This window comes from Homo sapiens, chromosome 7 (genome assembly GCF_000001405.40).
Source record: "Homo sapiens chromosome 7, GRCh38.p14 Primary Assembly".
NCBI classification, from domain to species: Eukaryota; Metazoa; Chordata; class Mammalia; order Primates; family Hominidae; genus Homo; species Homo sapiens.
The window spans coordinates 157,716,696-157,734,359 of NC_000007.14; the positions used below are offsets into that span (position 1 = coordinate 157,716,696).

General features: G+C 55.8%; 1 protein-coding gene across 10 annotated transcripts in view, besides 2 other annotated features; it reads right to left on the reverse strand.

Moving 5' to 3' along the window:
- Positions 1-17,664, reverse strand: part of PTPRN2 (protein tyrosine phosphatase receptor type N2) — a 1,048,768-nt gene that overhangs the window by 177,640 nt on the left and 853,464 nt on the right. The window lies entirely within an intron of this gene.
- Positions 10,028-10,228: a silencer, noted in NCBI's record as "peak6875 fragment used in MPRA reporter construct". NCBI's record gives its function as "represses an SCP1 promoter by STARR-seq MPRAs in K562 erythroleukemia cells {active_cell/tissue: K562}" and the evidence as "EXISTENCE:reporter gene assay evidence [ECO:0000049][PMID:32103011]".
- Positions 15,707-16,438: an enhancer, noted in NCBI's record as "OCT4 hESC enhancer chr7:157525094-157525825 (GRCh37/hg19 assembly coordinates)". NCBI's record gives its function as "activates a minimal SCP1, AML or CMV promoter by ChIP-STARR-seq in naive H9 embryonic stem cells {active_cell/tissue: H9 hESC(naive)}" and the evidence as "EXISTENCE:reporter gene assay evidence [ECO:0000049][PMID:30033119]".

Genomic DNA, 17,664 nt, shown 5'->3' on the forward strand with positions numbered 1-17,664 from the left:
ACACAGACTCTGCGGGAACACTGCCTGGCCACGTAGACTCTGCGGGAACACTGCCTGGTCACACAGACTCTGCGGGAACACTGCCTGGCCACGTAGACTCTGCAGGAACACTGCCTGGCCACGTAGACTCTGCGGGAACACTGCCTGGCCACGTAGACTCTGCGGGAACACTGCCTGGCCACGTAGACTCTGCGGGAACACTGCCTGGCCACGTAGACTCTGCGGGAACACTGCCTGGCCACGTAGACTCTGCGGGAACACTGCCTGGCCACGTAGACTCTGAGGGAACACTGCCTGGCCACGTAGACTCTGCGGGAACACTGCCTGGCCACGTAGACTCTGCGGGAACACTGCCTGGCCACGTAGACTCTGCAGGAACACTGCCTGGCCACTTAGACTCTGCAGGAACACTGCTGTTACCTCTCACTGCACGGGGACTCACAGACACAAAGATGGTCATTCACAGCATCACCAAAATCGATCCACGAGGCTTTGAGAAAATGCATCTCTAAAAAAAGCACATTTGGTGGGTCCAACAAGCCTCACTTATTCACGGTCCTGAACTCAGTGCATGGAGGCAAGAGGCATGTCGGTGACCCAGTGAGGGAACAACTGCACATCTGGGGCAACAGCCTGATGGTGCCGTGGGAGCCACGGGTGGGTATCCTGCAAACATCAGCTTGGACACTCAGCACCTGCATGGGACATGCATCGCCACAAGGTCACAGGTGGGCACCTGGGTGCTGCAGGGTCAGCTGACTTAGTCAAAGGCTAAGCCTGCAGTGAGTGTCCGAGCCTGCAATTGACCGCGGAAGCCAGTGCCCTCCCTAGTTGGCAACGTTGTTCAGCTGAGCTACAGAGAAAGAGCTCGGAGGTCTATGGACTCCTTCATGGAAATCGCTCCCTTGCGTCTCCTCATGTGGACACAGCTCCACGCCTCACCTCTCAGGCCAGGCAGCGGCCAACCCAGCCTCTTCACCAGGTATGGGCACCGGCTGCTCCTTGCTGCAGGACCGCTGGCTGGGGTGGCCGGGGCACGCAGCAGGCACATCCCGACCTGCGGGCCAGCACCTGCGCCCCATCCCTGTTACACCTGTTCTGAAGCCTTCAAGAGCAAAGACTGATGTTCATCATGGCCAAAGCAGCTGGGCTCTTTACTACGGAAGGAGATTAATTGCTACCCCGCGTACCTTTCAGAGGTTTATATGAAGCCATTTTTCGGTATTTCTCTAAGTGACTGAAACATGCGCAGCCATTTCATGTATTTCTACGCGTGTGGGCAGGCGGCCAGGGCCCTGGGCCACATTCCCCAGAAAGCCACGTCTCCACTCTGGGGAGGGGAATGCTTCGTTTTTCTGTGAGTGGTGAGGTCTCTCTTTTAACCTGTTATAAATTACCTTTTGTAATCTCTCCTAAACCATTATATAGAGGAGGGAGGGGAGACAAAGAATAAATACATCTGTAATAAATGTGGGATTTGGGAAAGATGATAAGATCAGAACAATTTGAATGAACGTGGCAAATGAATTTAGAGTTTTTGAACTATCAGCTATTTCTGCAAATAATGACTTGTAGAAGGAGAGGCTATTTTTAAAACAATTCATGTTCTCTGCTTTCATGTGAAGGAAATAAAACAAGGCACTCATGAATGAGCTCTTCAAGCACGGACTTTCCTGGAGCTCACAGGAAGGGGCCAGCACAGGTCAGGCTGGAGGCACAGTCTGATTCTACGGTGGCTTCACAGGGCGTGTTTGGAGAGCGCCTTCCTCCTCCCAACCCTGCAGTCCCCGGCCTGGCTCCAGGTCTGCCCCGCAGCCCTGAGGTGAGTCTCAGCATGTCCAGGCGTCTGAGGTGACACTGCAGCCTCTCTCCGTGGCCCTGTGGTGAGTCTCAGCATGTCCAGGCATCTGAGGTGACACTGCAGCCTCTCTCGGTGGCCCCGTGGTGAGTCTCAGCATGTCCAGGCATCCGCGGTGACACTGCAGCCACTCTCCATGGCCCCAGGGTGAGTCTCAGCACGTCCAGGCGTCCGCGGTGACACTGCAGCCACTCTCCATGGCCCCGGGGTGAGTCTCAGCACGTCCAGGCGTCCGCGGTGACACTGCAGCCACTCTTGGTTTCTCAGCTGCCGCAATCGGTCCTTCCAGTGTCCGACCTCTGGGGCCCTCAGACCCCCAAACCCACCTTGTCGCTGTGGCCTCTCCGCCTCCTGCAGGTGGCAGCGCTACTGTAGCCTGCCATGCCCCACCCCTTGCCTCCATCCCCACACATTGCCCTGTTTCTTGGGCAGCCATCTTCTGGACCTCTCCCTCCTGCAGGCGTCTCTGGCCCTGGGGGCTCCAGGAGGGGGTCTCCCCAGGAGCGTGTTCCCCAGTGCATGGCCCCTGTCCTCCAACACCTGCTCAGGCCTGCAGCCAAACCCACATCTCCCATTCCTGCCTCTCCTGAGCAGGAAGCCCCATGAGAGGGTCCCTTTACAATTCGTCCAGGCTGGCCCTGGGCCCTGTGTGGCCGCAGGTGGTCACGGAAGCCCCACCTGAGCTTCCAGGCCCCTCGTGCCAGGACTTCTGAAGGTTGTGCCTGACTCACGTCTCCATTCTCGACCCATTAAAGGGGGAGCGGAGATCGTGCTTCCCAAGGGACCCTGAGGCCTTCTCTCTAGGTCTGAGAAGTGGGAAGTCCCCCATTGGGAGTGGAAGGCCAAGGCCACAGCACTGCCGTCATGCGCTCCAGAGAAAGGTCACCTGCCACCCTTCTGTGTGCTTACATGTCTGTCAGGACAGCCCGGCTCCGGCCATGCCCTTTGCACATCCCGGCCTCCTGGGAACGCGGAGAACTTCGTGCCTGCTGTCCAGTTCTTGGCATCCGGGAGCTCCAGCTGGCATGAAGGCAGAAAGAATAACAGCCAGTGGCAGTGGAAGGCATGAGCGCCCCCGGAGAGCAGGGCCAGACCATCAGCAGGGCCCCTCCAAGAGGAGCTCTGTATGCCGGGGGAGTGGGCTCGGCCCGCGGGACAAGGCTGAAAGAGCTCCCCAGACCCCTCTCTGAAGACAGCCTCTGCAATCTCCGGCCTTCCCGCAGTTGCCCGCGTACTTTCTTCATTCCTCAAAGGTCTCATTAATTTACAGTCTAAGTGGACCAAGAGAGATGTTACATATGTTACCAGGAAGCTAGCATGTTCATTAATTAATTTCTGTCTAGTCATCCAATATTTATTGAGTCCTTAAGTCTGAGGCATTATAATAGTTACTGCTGTGGGGTCATACAGATAAATAAGACATGGTTCCTATTTCTCAGACTCATCACCCACTGGTAAGACAGCCACCGATGGAAACGACTCCAATCGACTGGAAAATAGAGAGGAAATTCCTTTGGAATTTAGGGGAAAGAATAAGACTTTTGGCTGGGGTGTCAGATATTCGCTTATAGGAGCAATTTCTTCTCAGCTGCATGGCACCACCAGGGACCAGGCCCCGGGGCCAGTCCAGATATCTGCAGTGTTAGCGAGAGACGCTGTTGACCCTTCTTGGCTTATCATGGAACTGAATTTCCTTAGGTTCAGTTGGTAGCTACCCTCGCCCCATCATGCCGCGGTGACACTGCAGCCACTCTTGGTTTCTCGGCTGCCGCAATCGGTCATTCCAATGTCCGACCTCTGGGGCCCTCAGACCCCCAAACCCACCTTGTCACTCTGGCTTCTCCGCCTCCTGCAGCTCCTGCTCTGTGTTTGGGAACGCGTGCGGCCCACAGGACAAAGCCTTGTTGCACACCCGGGTCAAGGGCAAATCCCAGCTGCACAGCCGGGTGATCCAGCGGCCGACCCTGCTTCCCTGCGTAGGAGGCCTGAGCCAAGGACACTGCGGCCCCGGCTGCACCGATGCATGGGTGTGCACGCGGGGACCGAGGGAGTCACGTGAATCATGTGGCTTCCACGAGCTACCTCTTCCCACACCAGGAGCAGGTGCCCTCGTCTCCATCAAGCGCTTTCTGGGGAGAAACTCCTTCAAGGATAACGGCAAATGGTGAGCGTGCCTCACTCTTTATAATAGAAATTACAAAAAGATGGAGAAACAGGCAGAATCCCACCCATTCCTGTGGCAAAGCCGAGACCCTCATTTCCAGTCTTTCTGGGACAGCGGAGCCCTGGGCAGGGGACACCGTGTGACTGGCTCTAGCTCTCCTAAAACACGGGACGCAGGAGTGTTTCTTAAGTGTGACAAGGTGAAAGCCCCTCGCGAGTTGAGGAAGGTCTCATTACTTCTGACAGAGGCCCCATGTTGGGGAGGTAGGTGTGGGGGCTCGGGGAGGTGTCAGGACAGCGGGATGGACGTGGGTCCACAGAGCTGACTATCACAGCCGCTCAGGATGCAGCCGTGGTGTGTGTGCTCTGGCCTATTTTAGGTACAGATATAAAACAGAAGACTTCGGGGCAAAAGGAAGTCTTAGAAAAATATAAAGGAATAGAAAGAAACAGCTGTTCCCCGGCACAGAAAATTCCTGCTAAGAACACACAACGGGCACGGTGTAGGCCCATTAGTGTTGCTCTGGGTGCTGCATCCACAAGGGAGATTTGCTTCTTCAGAAATGTCAGGGGTGCCTGGTCTGCAAGGGGCTTCCCTCGTCGGAAAGTCTCCCATCCACATCCCTTCATGTGCCATGTTCGCATCATGAGCAATGTTGTAATGAACAGCCACGCACTTCATTCTTTGCACATCTCAAAGAATTGTGTCCTTAGGATGAAGTGTCAGGGGACGAGTGTCCATGCCAAAGCATCTCCACACGTCGAGAGCTTCGGATGTGCACAGCTGCGTTGCCTCCTGACTGTCAGCCGAGCCCAGCGTCCCACCAGCAGGAGCCACAGCACCGCTGTCTGTTCCCACCGATGCCCAGTGTCAGCGTCCACTGAGTCGCAGCTCCCCTCTACACTGGGTGTGCCCGAGCTTGCTGCATGGGAGGAAGGTGGCTGATGGCAAGGGTGTGTGTCTCGACACTGTGGCTGCAGCACGGTTTCCTCACAGATGTTTGGGGAGAGGCTGAGAGGACCTGCCTGCCCTGGAGAGCCGGGTTTCTGCCTAGGGCTCCTCCTGTGCTCCTGCTCCCACCCCAGGGGCCTGGGGCTCCCGCTGGAGGATGGTGGCTTTGCAGACCCTTCCATTTTATTCATCGTGTTACAGAGCATTCTAAACCTCCTTCCTTCTAGAGTAGAGGCTCAGGGGTTAAGGGATATGTGTCTTCAAACGAGAACACTTCATTCAACAGACTTTTCCCGAAGACCACGTGCTGTGCGCAGCCTGACATGTGGTGCTCGGCCGCAAAAGCGCTTCAGTCTCGCCCCCCACCCCCGGAGCAGCCACCAACCAAGAAACATTGTCTGTATCTGGCAGCATTTGGTCCCTGTCATGAGGTTACAGTGAGCCCCTGGCCCCCACCCTCACGTGTCTGTGAGGTCAGCTCCCCACGCCCTGGTCCTCCCCACCTGCGAGGAGGCTCGTGGCACCCACTTCACGGCTGGTGGGAAGACGGGTGAGACCACGTGTGCCATGTGCCTCATATGCTGCCTGGCATATTTTGGGTGCTCACGAATGCTGACTGCAGCCTGGCATTGGGAAGGGAGTGATCCCGCCAGGGAGGGGAGGCCTGACAGAAGACATGGTCTCTCAGGGGGGGTCCTGATGTCATGTCAGATGGAGCCAGGGCCAGGGGCAGGGCGGGGGTGCAGGGGCTCTCGAGGCAGAACCTGGGACCCAGCGCCCATGTCGGTGCAGTTGGGAAAGGTGCGTGGCTCCCGTGGGTGGTGCAGACGAGCAGTGAATGAAGATGAAGCTGGAGTGGCAGCTTGGCCCAGATCCTGGAGGCTTTGCGTTTGCACTGAAATGTGTGGACTTGACGCCAGAAGCAACTCCTGCGTGGCCCGAGTGTGGGCCTGGGCGGCCCTCCATTCCTCGGCAGGGCACTGCCTATCGCAGCATCCAGGTGCAGCCGGGGGGGACAGGGGTGAGGAGGGAAGGAGGCATGAGTGCCAGCCTCCCCACACCTGGGAGAGCAGCCTAGAGAGGAGTAGAGGGCAGCAGGGGCCCAGTCTGTCATCCAGAGAGGCAAGGGAGAAGGCAGGGGTGAGCGAGGCGGTGCAGGGTGGGGCTCTGCTCCCACGGGTTCGATGTGGGGCCATGCTTGGTGGTGGGGCCAGGCTGTGTCACCTGTGAGGTCACCCCTGTTCCTGGCACCTGGTAGGTCACTGAATCAACAGCCCACCGCCAGCAGGGCAGGGCGATGCATTTTGCGTCCCTGGCTCAACTGCAGAGTTTCGTTACCATTTCCCGGAAACCCAGACTCTCACCAATGCAGATGGTCTCCTAGCTATTTTTAATGAGGGAAGATTTGTTGGAAGCACAAAATTGAATTAAGTCACATTCAGAAATTCTCCTTCAAAGAGGAACTCACACAGTCAAGCTGAGAAAGCCAGCATCTGAGGATAGCGGAGCTGCTCTGTGGTGAACATAGAATGTGGGGCCCTGACGGACTGTCCCCTTGCCCTGACGCCTCTCCTGGCCTCTGCCCCCACACTCTGGCACCAGAATGTCCACGGGGACAGCTCTGGTCTGGCCTGGCCTGAGCTGCAGGCTCTCCTGTCACAGCACTGGCTGAATGCCTCCCCTGGTGTCCCCTGGCCTTTCCCCGGCTGGCCACCTGTCCCCCACTGAGCTCACGGCTTCTCCCTGAACCAGCTTCTACTCCAGTCCCAAACCAGCTCCACACTGTGGCTCTCGGCCCCGTGCCCCTCTCCCCACACCAGCATGTCACTGCGCTCGCCGGCTGTGTTCCCAAGCACTTTCTCCCTCCTCTCCTTTCTCTACCACAGCCCAGGCCTTCCTCACCTCATGCTCTTCACCCATCCACCTGTCCATCCTTGTCCCCGGAGACGCTGTCATCCCACCCAAGTGACCTGCCAGCCACTGTGGAAGTTCTATGCACTGCAGATGTTAAACGTGAGGCTTTTTCCTACTCAGGGATGTGCAGTCAAATTGGTGCTCAGATGGAGTCTGATGAAAGGCAAGCTCTGGAAGGAACACGGACCCTGAGCAAGTGTGAGAGACGTAAGCCAGCAATGAAGCCATGCCCCAAAGCGAATCCACCACCATCCAATTCCCGCTCATACACAGCAGGCCAGAAAGACTTCCACGCTGCACACAACGCTCAGAGCAGAACGTCTGGGAATCAATCTATCCAAATTTGATTTAATTTATGTGGAATTTAGAGACCTGAGACCTGTTGATTTATGTAGAATTTAGGCTTCCCCCGTCTGAATCGCGCTGGTGTATCTGGAATTTAGGCTTCCCCCGTCTGAATTGTGCTGGTGTATCTGGAATTTAGGCTTCCCCCGTCTGAAGTGTGCTGGTGTGGGTGGAATTTAGGCTTCCCCCATCTGAATCGCGCTGGTGTATCTGGAATTTAGGCTTCCCTCGTCTGAATTGTGCTGGTGTGGGTGGAATTTAGGCTTCCCCCGTCTGAATTGCGCTGGTTTACGTGACATTTAGGCTACCCCCACCTGAAACACATTTATTTGCAGACGCTTGCTTACAAATAGCAGCCTGAAACTGTTCATTTTCTCTTGTAATTCACAAATAAAACAGGAATTACGAACATAAAACTTCTATAATCAAACGGGTAAGGATATTAGCCATCAGGTCACTGAAAGCTTTGTTTGTCTATTATTGGAGCCAATTTCCTGGTTAAATTTACTTTACATTTTGATATGTATTCAGTTCTCAGATAAACACACTATGGAGGTTCCTCAGTGTATGATGGGGTTACATCATGGGGTTACATCCCAATGAACCCGGTGCAAGTCGAAATGTGCTAGGTTAGAGACGTACTGGATCCATATAACCTGCTGAGCATCACAGCTCAGCCCAGCCTGCCTTACGTGTGCTCAGAACACTCATGCAAGCCTGCAGCTGGGCGAAACCATCTCTCACAAAGCCTGTTTATGATAAAGTGCTGAAGATATCAGGCCATTTCTTGACTACTGCCCTGAAAGTGAATAACAGCGTAGTTGGGTGAGCACTCAGAGTACAGTTTCACACCACTGTAAAGTGAGAAATACTAAGTCCAACCATCCTGAGGCGGGGACCATCTGTGTATTGTTGAGTCTGCTTTCCATGAATCATGCTTCTTCTTACATGATAAATTTAAAGTAAATTAAAAGGCATGCATTACATGTTAAATGGGACAGAGTCAATATCTGGCTTGAAATATTATCAATATTTTAAAGATAATATTAACTAAATTTTATAACCTTAAAAATGTACTGATCTGAAATAAAATTCTCGTGTCCTTAAAAATAACCTGCTTTTTCCCATACTAAACAAAAATAAACTGACTTTTAAAAAACCTGTGGGGGAAAGGACGGTTTCCTCAACAGGTGGTTCTGGGAGAACTGGATATCTACACGCAGAGGAGTGAGCCAGACCCTCGCCTCCCAGGAGAACTGGATATCCACACGCAGAGGACTGCGGCCAGACCCTCGCCTCCCAGGAGAACTGGATATCCACATGCAGAGGAGTGAGCCAGACCCTGGCCTCCCAGGAGAACTGGATACCTACACCCAGAGGAGTGTGGCCAGACCCTCGCCTCCCAGGAGAACTGGATATCTACACACAGAGGAGTGTGGCCAGACCCTCGCCTCCCAGGAGAACTGGATATCTACACACAGAGGAGTGAGCCAGACCCTCGCCTCCCAGGAGAACTGGATATCCACATGCAGAGGAGTGAGCCAGACCCTCACCTCCCAGGAGAACTGGATATCCACACGCAGAGGACGGCGGCCAGACCCTCACCTCCCAGGAGAACTGGATATCCACACGCAGAGGAGTGAGCCAGACCCTCGCCTCCCAGGAGAACTGGATACCTACACCCAGAGGAGTGTGGCCATACCCTCGCCTCCCAGGAGAACTGGATATCTACACACAGAGGAGTGAGCCAGACCCTCGCCTCCCAGGAGAACTGGATATCCACATGCAGAGGAGTGAGCCAGACCCTCACCTCCCAGGAGAACTGGATATCCACACGCAGAGGACTGCGGCCAGACCCTCACCTCCCAGGAGAACTGGATATCCACACGCAGAGGAGTGAGCCAGACCCTCGCCTCCCAGGAGAACTGGATATCCACACGCAGAGGAGTGAACCAGACCCTCGCCTCCCAGGAGAACTGGATATCCACACGCAGAGGAGTGAGCCAGACCCTCGCCTCCCAGGAGAACTGGATATCCACATGCAGAGGAGTGAGCCAGACCCTCGCCTCCCAGGAGAACTGGATATCCACACGCAGAGGAGTGTGGCCAGACCCTCGCCTCCCAGGAGAACTGGATATCCACACGCAGAGGAGTGTGGCCAGACCCTCACCTCCCAGGAAAACTGGATATCCACATGCAGAGGAATGAGCCAGACTCTCGCCTCCCAGGAAAACTGGATATCCACATGCAGAGGAATGAGCCAGACTCTCGCCTCCCAGGAGAACTGGATATCCACACGCAGAGGAGTGTGGCCAGACCCTCACCTCCCAGGAAAACTGGATATCCACATGCAGAGGAATGAGCCAGACCCTCGCCTCCCAGGAGAACTGGATATCCACACGCAGAGGAGTGTGGCCATACCCTCGCCTCCCAGGAGAACTGGATATCCACACGCAGAGGAGTGTGGCCAGACCCTCGCCTCCCAGGAAAACTGGATATCCACACGCAGAGGAGTGAGCCAGACCGTCACCTCCCACCCGAGCGTGCGCTGACTCACAGCGAATAGCAGAGTGGCTGGACGCACACTTGGCCAGAACATACATGAACTCAGAGCTAAATGTGAGACCTAAAACATACAGGGCAAGACCTTTATGACATTGGATTTGGCCACGATTTCCTGGATATAACACCAAAAACACAGGCACAAAAGAAAAAAATAGATAAATTGGGTTTGATGACACTCAAAACGTTTGTGCGTCAAAGCGCACCATCCAGAGAGCGAAAAGACAACCCATATAAAGGGGGAAAAGATTTGCGAATCAAATTGCAGTGGGGGATTAATATCCAGAACATGTAGGAAACTTCCACAACTCAACTACAATAACGATGGAAAACCATCTCGTTCAGAAAACACAAAGTACTTGAACACATGTTTCTCCAAAGAAGACACACAAATGACCTCAGGCACAGGCAGAGGCGCTTGGCGTCACCAAAATCATTGGGGAAGCATGATTCCTCAGTGCAATTCCACCTCATGCCATGTGCGTGACTCTTACCGAAAAAAACAGAAAGTAACAGGTGCTGGTGAGAAGGCAGAGAGATGGGAACACTGCGCTATTGCAGCAGCTAGGGAGAACAGGGTGGCGGTTCCTCAGAGTTAGAAATGGAATTCCCATAGGAGCCGGCAGCCCTATGTCTGGGTGTCCATGGAGAACAACTGAAAGCAGGGTCTTGAAGAGGTATTTGCACGCCAGGTTCACAGCAACTTTATGACAGCAGCCAAAGGGTGGATGCAAGGCCAGCATCTGTGGACGGATGGACAGAGGAGCAAAATGTGGTCCATCCACACTGACAGATGTCACCAGCCCTAAGAGGAGGGGGTGCAGACATATGGCATAACATGGGGAGTCCTGAGGACATGTGCCCAGTGAAATAAGCCAGTCACCAAAGGACACATACAGCACAACACAGGGAACCCTGGGGACACTGCCCAGTGAAAGAAGCCATCACTAGAGGACACAGACTGTGTGATTCCACTTGTGTGAGGTCCCTGGAGTCATCAAACTCAGAGACAGAGGGTAGAGTGGGCTGCCGGGGTGGGGGGAGGAACAGGGGTCAGTGTTTACTGGGGACAGAGTTCCAGTTTGGGATGATGGAAGGTTCTGGAAATGGGTGGTGGAGATGCTCGCACAACGTTGTGAACACATACAATGCTAAGAGGCGTGCACCTAAAAACGGTTAGGACGATCCATTTTCTGTTTTGTGTCGTTTACGTAACTATGAGATTCTGTATTACTGAGAAAAAGGCTTGAGAGAACCAGAAGTGTCACGTAAAGTGTGAGGCGTGAGCCGTGAGCAGTGATTGAGCCCAGACCCCCGCGACCAGCTCTGCTGCTGGCCCTGCCTGAAGCTGCAGCAGCCCCTGCCCTTGGACCCCTGAGTCTGTGGGGCCTGCACTGCTGCATCTCTGGCTGCCCTGTGCCCAGAAACCCACCCTCCATCCTTCCACACTCAGAGCCTCCTCCCAGCTGAGCACCCTCCCCTCTGCTATGGGGCATCTGTGGGCCCCCCAGCTCCCACCCTGCAGACGTCTGTGGGCTCTGCCTCTCCCGTCTACACCTGGAGGCCCAGAGGGGCTCCTGAGGGCCACCTGGTACCCGGTGGGTACCCAGCGAGGGTCTGGCAAGGAGGTCAGCTCAGCTGGGCAGACACATGCAGCCCGGAGGCCTGGGGTGTCCGGGTCCCACGAAGCCAGGAGAACACAGATGGGGCCGACTCTGCCGCGCGGTCTCCTCACTGTGCTTCCTGCAATCATGCCTTGTACAGCCTCCTGACAGGCCACCCTCAGCCCCATGTGGCCAGCAGCAAGGGCTGCTGTTGCACCCCAAGCCTCTCCGTCTAGGGGAAGAAGGCGCGTGAAGATCTTTCTCAGAAAGGACAAGCCCACAGCATCTGCGTCGGTGCCTCCTGCCTCTGACAGGGCTCCTGGCGCCCATGGCGGCTGGGGTTTCACGGGGGCGAGGGGCTGGGCCACACTTGTCTGCATCCCGGGGCCCTTGGCTCAGTGGACAAAACAGCTTTAAAGTTCAAGGATAACTCAAATTGGATTTTAGAAATACAAAGTCTTAAAACATTTGTACCAGACTAAGGGATTACACTCTTAACTTATCCACAGAAAGGCTTTTGAAGAGGTGGGGAAAGGTAGCTCAGATTTTAAATTGGGGCCTCAAAACCTGCCTGTCTGCGGCTCCTTCCTTTGCCTGGCTGCTATTATCAAAAGGTAAAATGTCTTAGACTATTGAAAAAAGGATTTGCATAAATTGCTTTTACCTGCTTCTTATATGAGGTTAATGAAATTGGAACAAAAAGGAATGAATTCCCAATCCCAGACCAGAACCTCAAATCCCCCAGAAGAGACTTCCATGAGCCCCACTGAGCCCAGGCATGAAGAACTCTTTCTCTGGGTCCAGGAGTGGCACCACCTTAATCAGCTCTCCTCATAAATGTCCCAAGGAGACCAGGAAACAGCCTCGAGGGAGACGGCGCTGACCCGGGGCCAGGGGAGTTTGGCTCACGTGATCCAGTCACACAGAGGTCGGTCGTTGTCTGGACACAGACAATGGGAATCTGGGCTGATACCGGGCCTTTGAAAATAGTCGGGGAGGAAAACAGAAAAGATGCAGAAGTTGATAATTGCTTTGATATACCCATCTCTGTTTTTTTTTTTGGACAGAATTCCTATTAAATACAATATAGAGTATTTCATTTTCTGCATCTGCCCATCTTTGAATCTTCATGTATTTTTAAAAAAGAATGAATTTAAAACTCTAATCCACTTGGCCCAGATTTGTTTTGGGAGGCAGGTGGGAACCCATGAGCTGTCTTGAGCACAGTGGCTGGAGTCTGTGCGGTGGCTGGAACCCTGGGCTCTGGAGGGCTGGATGCCTTCAGGTCCCGGACCCCCCACTCTGCTCCCGTGGACAGCTCCATCTTCAGCAGCTCCGTGCATAGGGACTCCTGGGAAGACTTCTCTTTGAGGAAATGTTTCCGCTGCTAAAATGCAAAGTTCCCCGAAGGCAGGTGGGCACTGTGCTGGTGCTGTCCGAGTGGAGCCTCTGGTGAGCCGGACACCATCAAACAACATCAGAGCTTGCAAAAGGAGCTCTGCAGTGCCTGAGACCTGCAAAGGGCCATCCTGGGGTCCGAGGGCTTCCTGGTCCTGACCCAGTCCTGCAGGGAGGTCCTGGGAGGGTCGCTAGGGTGAGGACGCTGAGAGCCCATGTGCTGGAAAGGACCCAGGAAGAGGGCTGAGGTCTCACGCCTGGCAGAGATGGTGCCCAGGTAGTGACTGCACCACACCCATAAGGGCCACCTGCTGGCCACGTGGAGGACGGGGAGCGGCAGGCGGATGAGGGAAGGACCGTCCATTTGACTGGGCCACAGGTGTTTAGATTAAACCTGATCCACGTGTGTCTGTGAGTGTGACTCGGAGGAGTCCAGCATTGGATTCAGTGGGCCAGGAACAGGGCATTCTTCTCTCCAGGGAGCAGAAACCACAAGATAGACATGGCCCATTGTGCTCGAGGGTCACTTTCATTGGAAGATTTAGAGAAAATGATTTTTATACAATAACGATATGGGCTTATAGGGTAAAGTCCACATTCGCATAAAATTTTAACCAAGTAGGGACAGAGCCTGGCAATTCTGGGTTCTGAGACCCCTGGGGATGGCACCTGAGTCCCACTCAGGCCACCACCCCTGCCCCCCCCCGGGCACTCGGGGTGAAGCTGTGTCACTGTGGCTGGACACATGTCCTGGAATCAGAGTTGCTCTTTAACTGTGTCTGGCTTTAAGGCTCGTCTTCTACGCCAGACAAAGTAAACTTCCTGGAACTGTTTTTTGAAATGTGGCTACTGTCCTTTCCTCTTCTAGAAAAACGAGGATGAGGAGCCAAAACAGAGGAGGGTGTCGCAAGCGGCAGACATTTGAAAGCAGCTTAAGCCCCTGAGCCCCCTTTCTGGGGTTCCTGGGCAAGAGGTCGCACGCCTGGCCGAGGTGGTGCCCCAGGGGTGACAGCGGTTGCCCTCCTGTATGGCACAACTGAAAATAAAGGCTGGGCCATTTCCCCCTCCATCTGCCAAAATCCCATTACTGAGGTTGTCAAAATGCTTCAACCTCTCTTAAAATGCAGTGAGATTGCTTCACGATGAAGGGTATGACCAAGTGGAATTGTACACGGTATAGTTAGGAGGTGATGATGACCACAGTGGGGTCTTTAAAACAGTGCACGGCCCGCCTAGGGGACAGAGCCGGCCCTCCCAACACTTCCCCGCTACAGAGGCGTTCTGTGGCCCCGGGGCTGCTCCCCGCCTGGGCACATGGCGGAGACATGCAAGCCACAGGGGAGGGCTCTGACCTCGGCGTGGCTCCCGCCAGGGACCTGGCAGCTCTTCCGCTTGTTCTCTCTCTCATTCCTCATGGGGACTGCACTAGGACTTTCCCCTTCTCCCCAACTCCCCACCCAATGCCCCCTCTTTTGTGGCAGGTGAGCTCACGTCCTGCTCTGAAGAGAAAATGGAGGTGCCACACGTGGTCTCCTGAACTCCCAGCCCTGGACGAGGGGGTCCTGTCTCATTCAAGTAAACCCCCTGCAGTTCCCAGCAGCCTTAGGACAGCAGGCTCCTTTACGACTTCACCTCTGCGCTGCCCCCACTGAGAAGCTCCTGCTAACCTCGTCCAGTTGTCAAATCACTTCTTAGCATGCAAAACCTTGCCCGCATATCAGCTGCTCTGCCAAGCCCACCCTGAGTTCCGAGGAAGGTAATCGAGGTGCCTTCCTGAAGGTCTGCACCAGGCAGAAAGCCCTGTTACAGCCTAGTTGCATCGTGTGACAACTGCCTGCTCATAATGTGAACTCTGCGGTGACTAGAACCGTATCTGGCATATGGCAGACATTCAGTACAAAACCCATGGACAGAACAAATAAGTAAGTCCAGAGGTCTCCCTGGGGACAGGGCCTGTGTTACTCTTCCTTCCCACGCGCCCAGCACAGTTACCCTTTCCCGTCCCATGCGCCCAGCACAGTTACCCTTTCCCGTCCCATGCGCCCAGCACAGTTACCCTTTCCCGTCCCATGCGCCCAGCACAGTTACTCTTTTCCACCCCATGCGCCCAGCACAGTTACCCTTTCCCGTCCCACGCGCCCAGCACAGTTACCCTTTCCCGTCCCACGCGCCCAGCACAGTTACCCTTTCCCGTCCCACGCGCCCAGCACAGTTACCCTTTCCCGTCCCACGCGCCCAGCACAGTTACCCTTTCCCGTCCCACGCGCCCAGCACAGTTACTCTTTTCCACCCCATGCGCCCAGCACAGTTACCCTTTTCCGCCCCATGCGCCCAGCACAGTTACCCTTTTCCGCCCCATGCGCCCAGCACAGTTACTCTTTTCCGCCCCATGCGCCCAGCACAGTTACTCTTTCCCGTCCCATGCGCCCAGCACAGTTACCCTTTCCCGTCCCATGCGCCCAGCACAGTTACCCTTTCCCGTCCCATGCGCCCAGCACAGTTACCCTTTCCCGTCCCATGGCCCAGCACAGTTACCCTTTTCCGCCCCATGGCCCAGCACAGTTACTCTTTTCCACCCCATGCGCCCAGCACAGTTACCCTTTCCCGTCCCACGCGCCCAGCACAGTTACTCTTTTCCGCCCCATGCGCCCAGCACAGTTACCCTTTCCCGTCCCATGCGCCCAGCACAGTTACCCTTTTCCGCCCCACGCGCCCAGCACAGTTACTCTTTCCCGTCCCACGCGCCCAGCACAGTTACCCTTTCCCGTCCCACGCGCCCAGCACAGTTACCCTTTCCCGTCCCACGCGCCCAGCACAGTTACCCTTTCCCGTCCCACGCGCCCAGCACAGTTACCCTTTCCCGTCCCACACGCCCAGCACAGTTACCCTTTTCCACCCCACGCGCCCAGCACAGTTACCCTTTTCCGCCCCATGCGCCCAGCACAGTTACCCTTTTCCGCCCCATGCGCCCAGCACAGTTACCCTTTTCCGTCCCATGCGCCCAGCACAGTTACCCTTTCCCGTCCCATGCGCCCAGCACAGTTACCCTTTCCCGTCCCACGCGCCCAGCACAGTTACCCTTTCCCGTCCCACGCGCCCAGCACAGTTACCCTTTCCCGTCCCACGCGCCCAGCACAGTTACCCTTTCCCGTCCCACGCGCCCAGCACAGTTACCCTTTCCCGTCCCACGCGCCCAGCACAGTTACCCTTTCCCGTCCCACGCGCCCAGCACAGTTACCCTTTCCCGTCCCACGCGCCCAGCACAGTTACTCTTTTCCGTCCCACGCGCCCAGCACAGTTACTCTTCCGTCCCACGCGCCCAGCACAGTTACCCTTTCCCGTCCCACGCGCCCAGCACAGTTACTCTTTTCCGTCCCATGCGCCCAGCACAGTTACTCTTTCCCGTCCCATGCGCCCAGCACAGTTACCCTTTCCCGTCCCATGCGCCCAGCACAGTTACCCTTTCCCGTCCCATGCGCCCAGCACAGTTACCCTTTCCCGTCCCAGGCGCCCAGCACAGTTACCCTTTCCCGTCCCACGCGCCCAGCACAGTTACCCTTTTCCGTCCCACGCGCCCAGCACAGTTACTCTTCCGTCCCATGCGCCCAGCACAGTTACTCTTTCCCGTCCCAGGCGCCCAGCACAGTTACTCTTTCCCGTCCCAGGCGCCCAGCACAGTTACCCTTTCCCGTCCCATGCGCCCAGCACAGTTACCCTTTCCCGTCCCACGCGCCCAGCACAGTTACTCTTTTCCGTCCCACGCGCCCAGCACAGTTACTCTTCCGTCCCATGCGCCCAGCACAGTTACCCTTTCCCGTCCCACGCGCCCAGCACAGTTACTCTTTTCCGTCCCATGCGCCCAGCACAGTTACTCTTTTCCGTCCCATGCGCCCAGCACAGTTACCCTTCCACCCCATGCGCCCAGCACAGTTACTCTTTTCCGTCCCATGCGCCCAGCACAGTTACTCTTTTCCGCCCCATGCGCCCAGCACAGTTACTCTTTTCCGTCCCATGCGCCCAGCACAGTTACTCTTTGCCGTCCCATGCGCCCAGCACAGTTACTCTTTGCCGTCCCATGCGCCCAGCACAGTTACCCTTTCCCGTCCCATGCGCCCAGCACAGTTACCCTTTCCCGTCCCATGCGCCCAGCACAGTTACCCTTTCCCGTCCCATGCGCCCAGCACAGTTACCCTTTCCCGTCCCATGCGCCCAGCACAGTTACCCTTTCCCGTCCCATGCGCCCAGCACAGTTACCCTTTCCCGTCCCAGGCGCCCAGCACAGTTACCCTTTCCCGTCCCACGCGCCCAGCACAGTTACTCTTTTCCGTCCCACGCGCCCAGCACAGTTACTCTTCCGTCCCATGCGCCCAGCACAGTTACTCTTTTCCGTCCCATGCGCCCAGCACAGTTACCCTTTTCCGTCCCAGGCGCCCAGCACAGTTACCCTTTCCCGTCCCATGCGCCCAGCACAGTTACCCTTTCCCGTCCCATGCGCCCAGCACAGTTACCCTTTTCCGTCCCATGCGCCCAGCACAGTTACCCTTTCCCGTCCCATGCGCCCAGCACAGTTACCCTTTTCCGTCCCATGCACCCAGCACAGTTACCCTTTCCCGTCCCATGCGCCCAGCACAGTTACCCTTTCCCGTCCCAGGCGCCCAGCACAGTTACTCTTTTCCACCCCATGCACCCAGCACAGTTACTCTTTTCCGTCCCATGCGCCCAGCACAGTTACTCTTCCACCCCATGCTCCCAGCACACTCTTCCGTCCCATGTGCCCAGTGCAGTCTTCCGTCCCATGCGCCCAGTGCAGTTACTCTTCCGTCCCATGCACCCAGCGCAGTTACTCTTTTCCATTCCATGCACCCAGC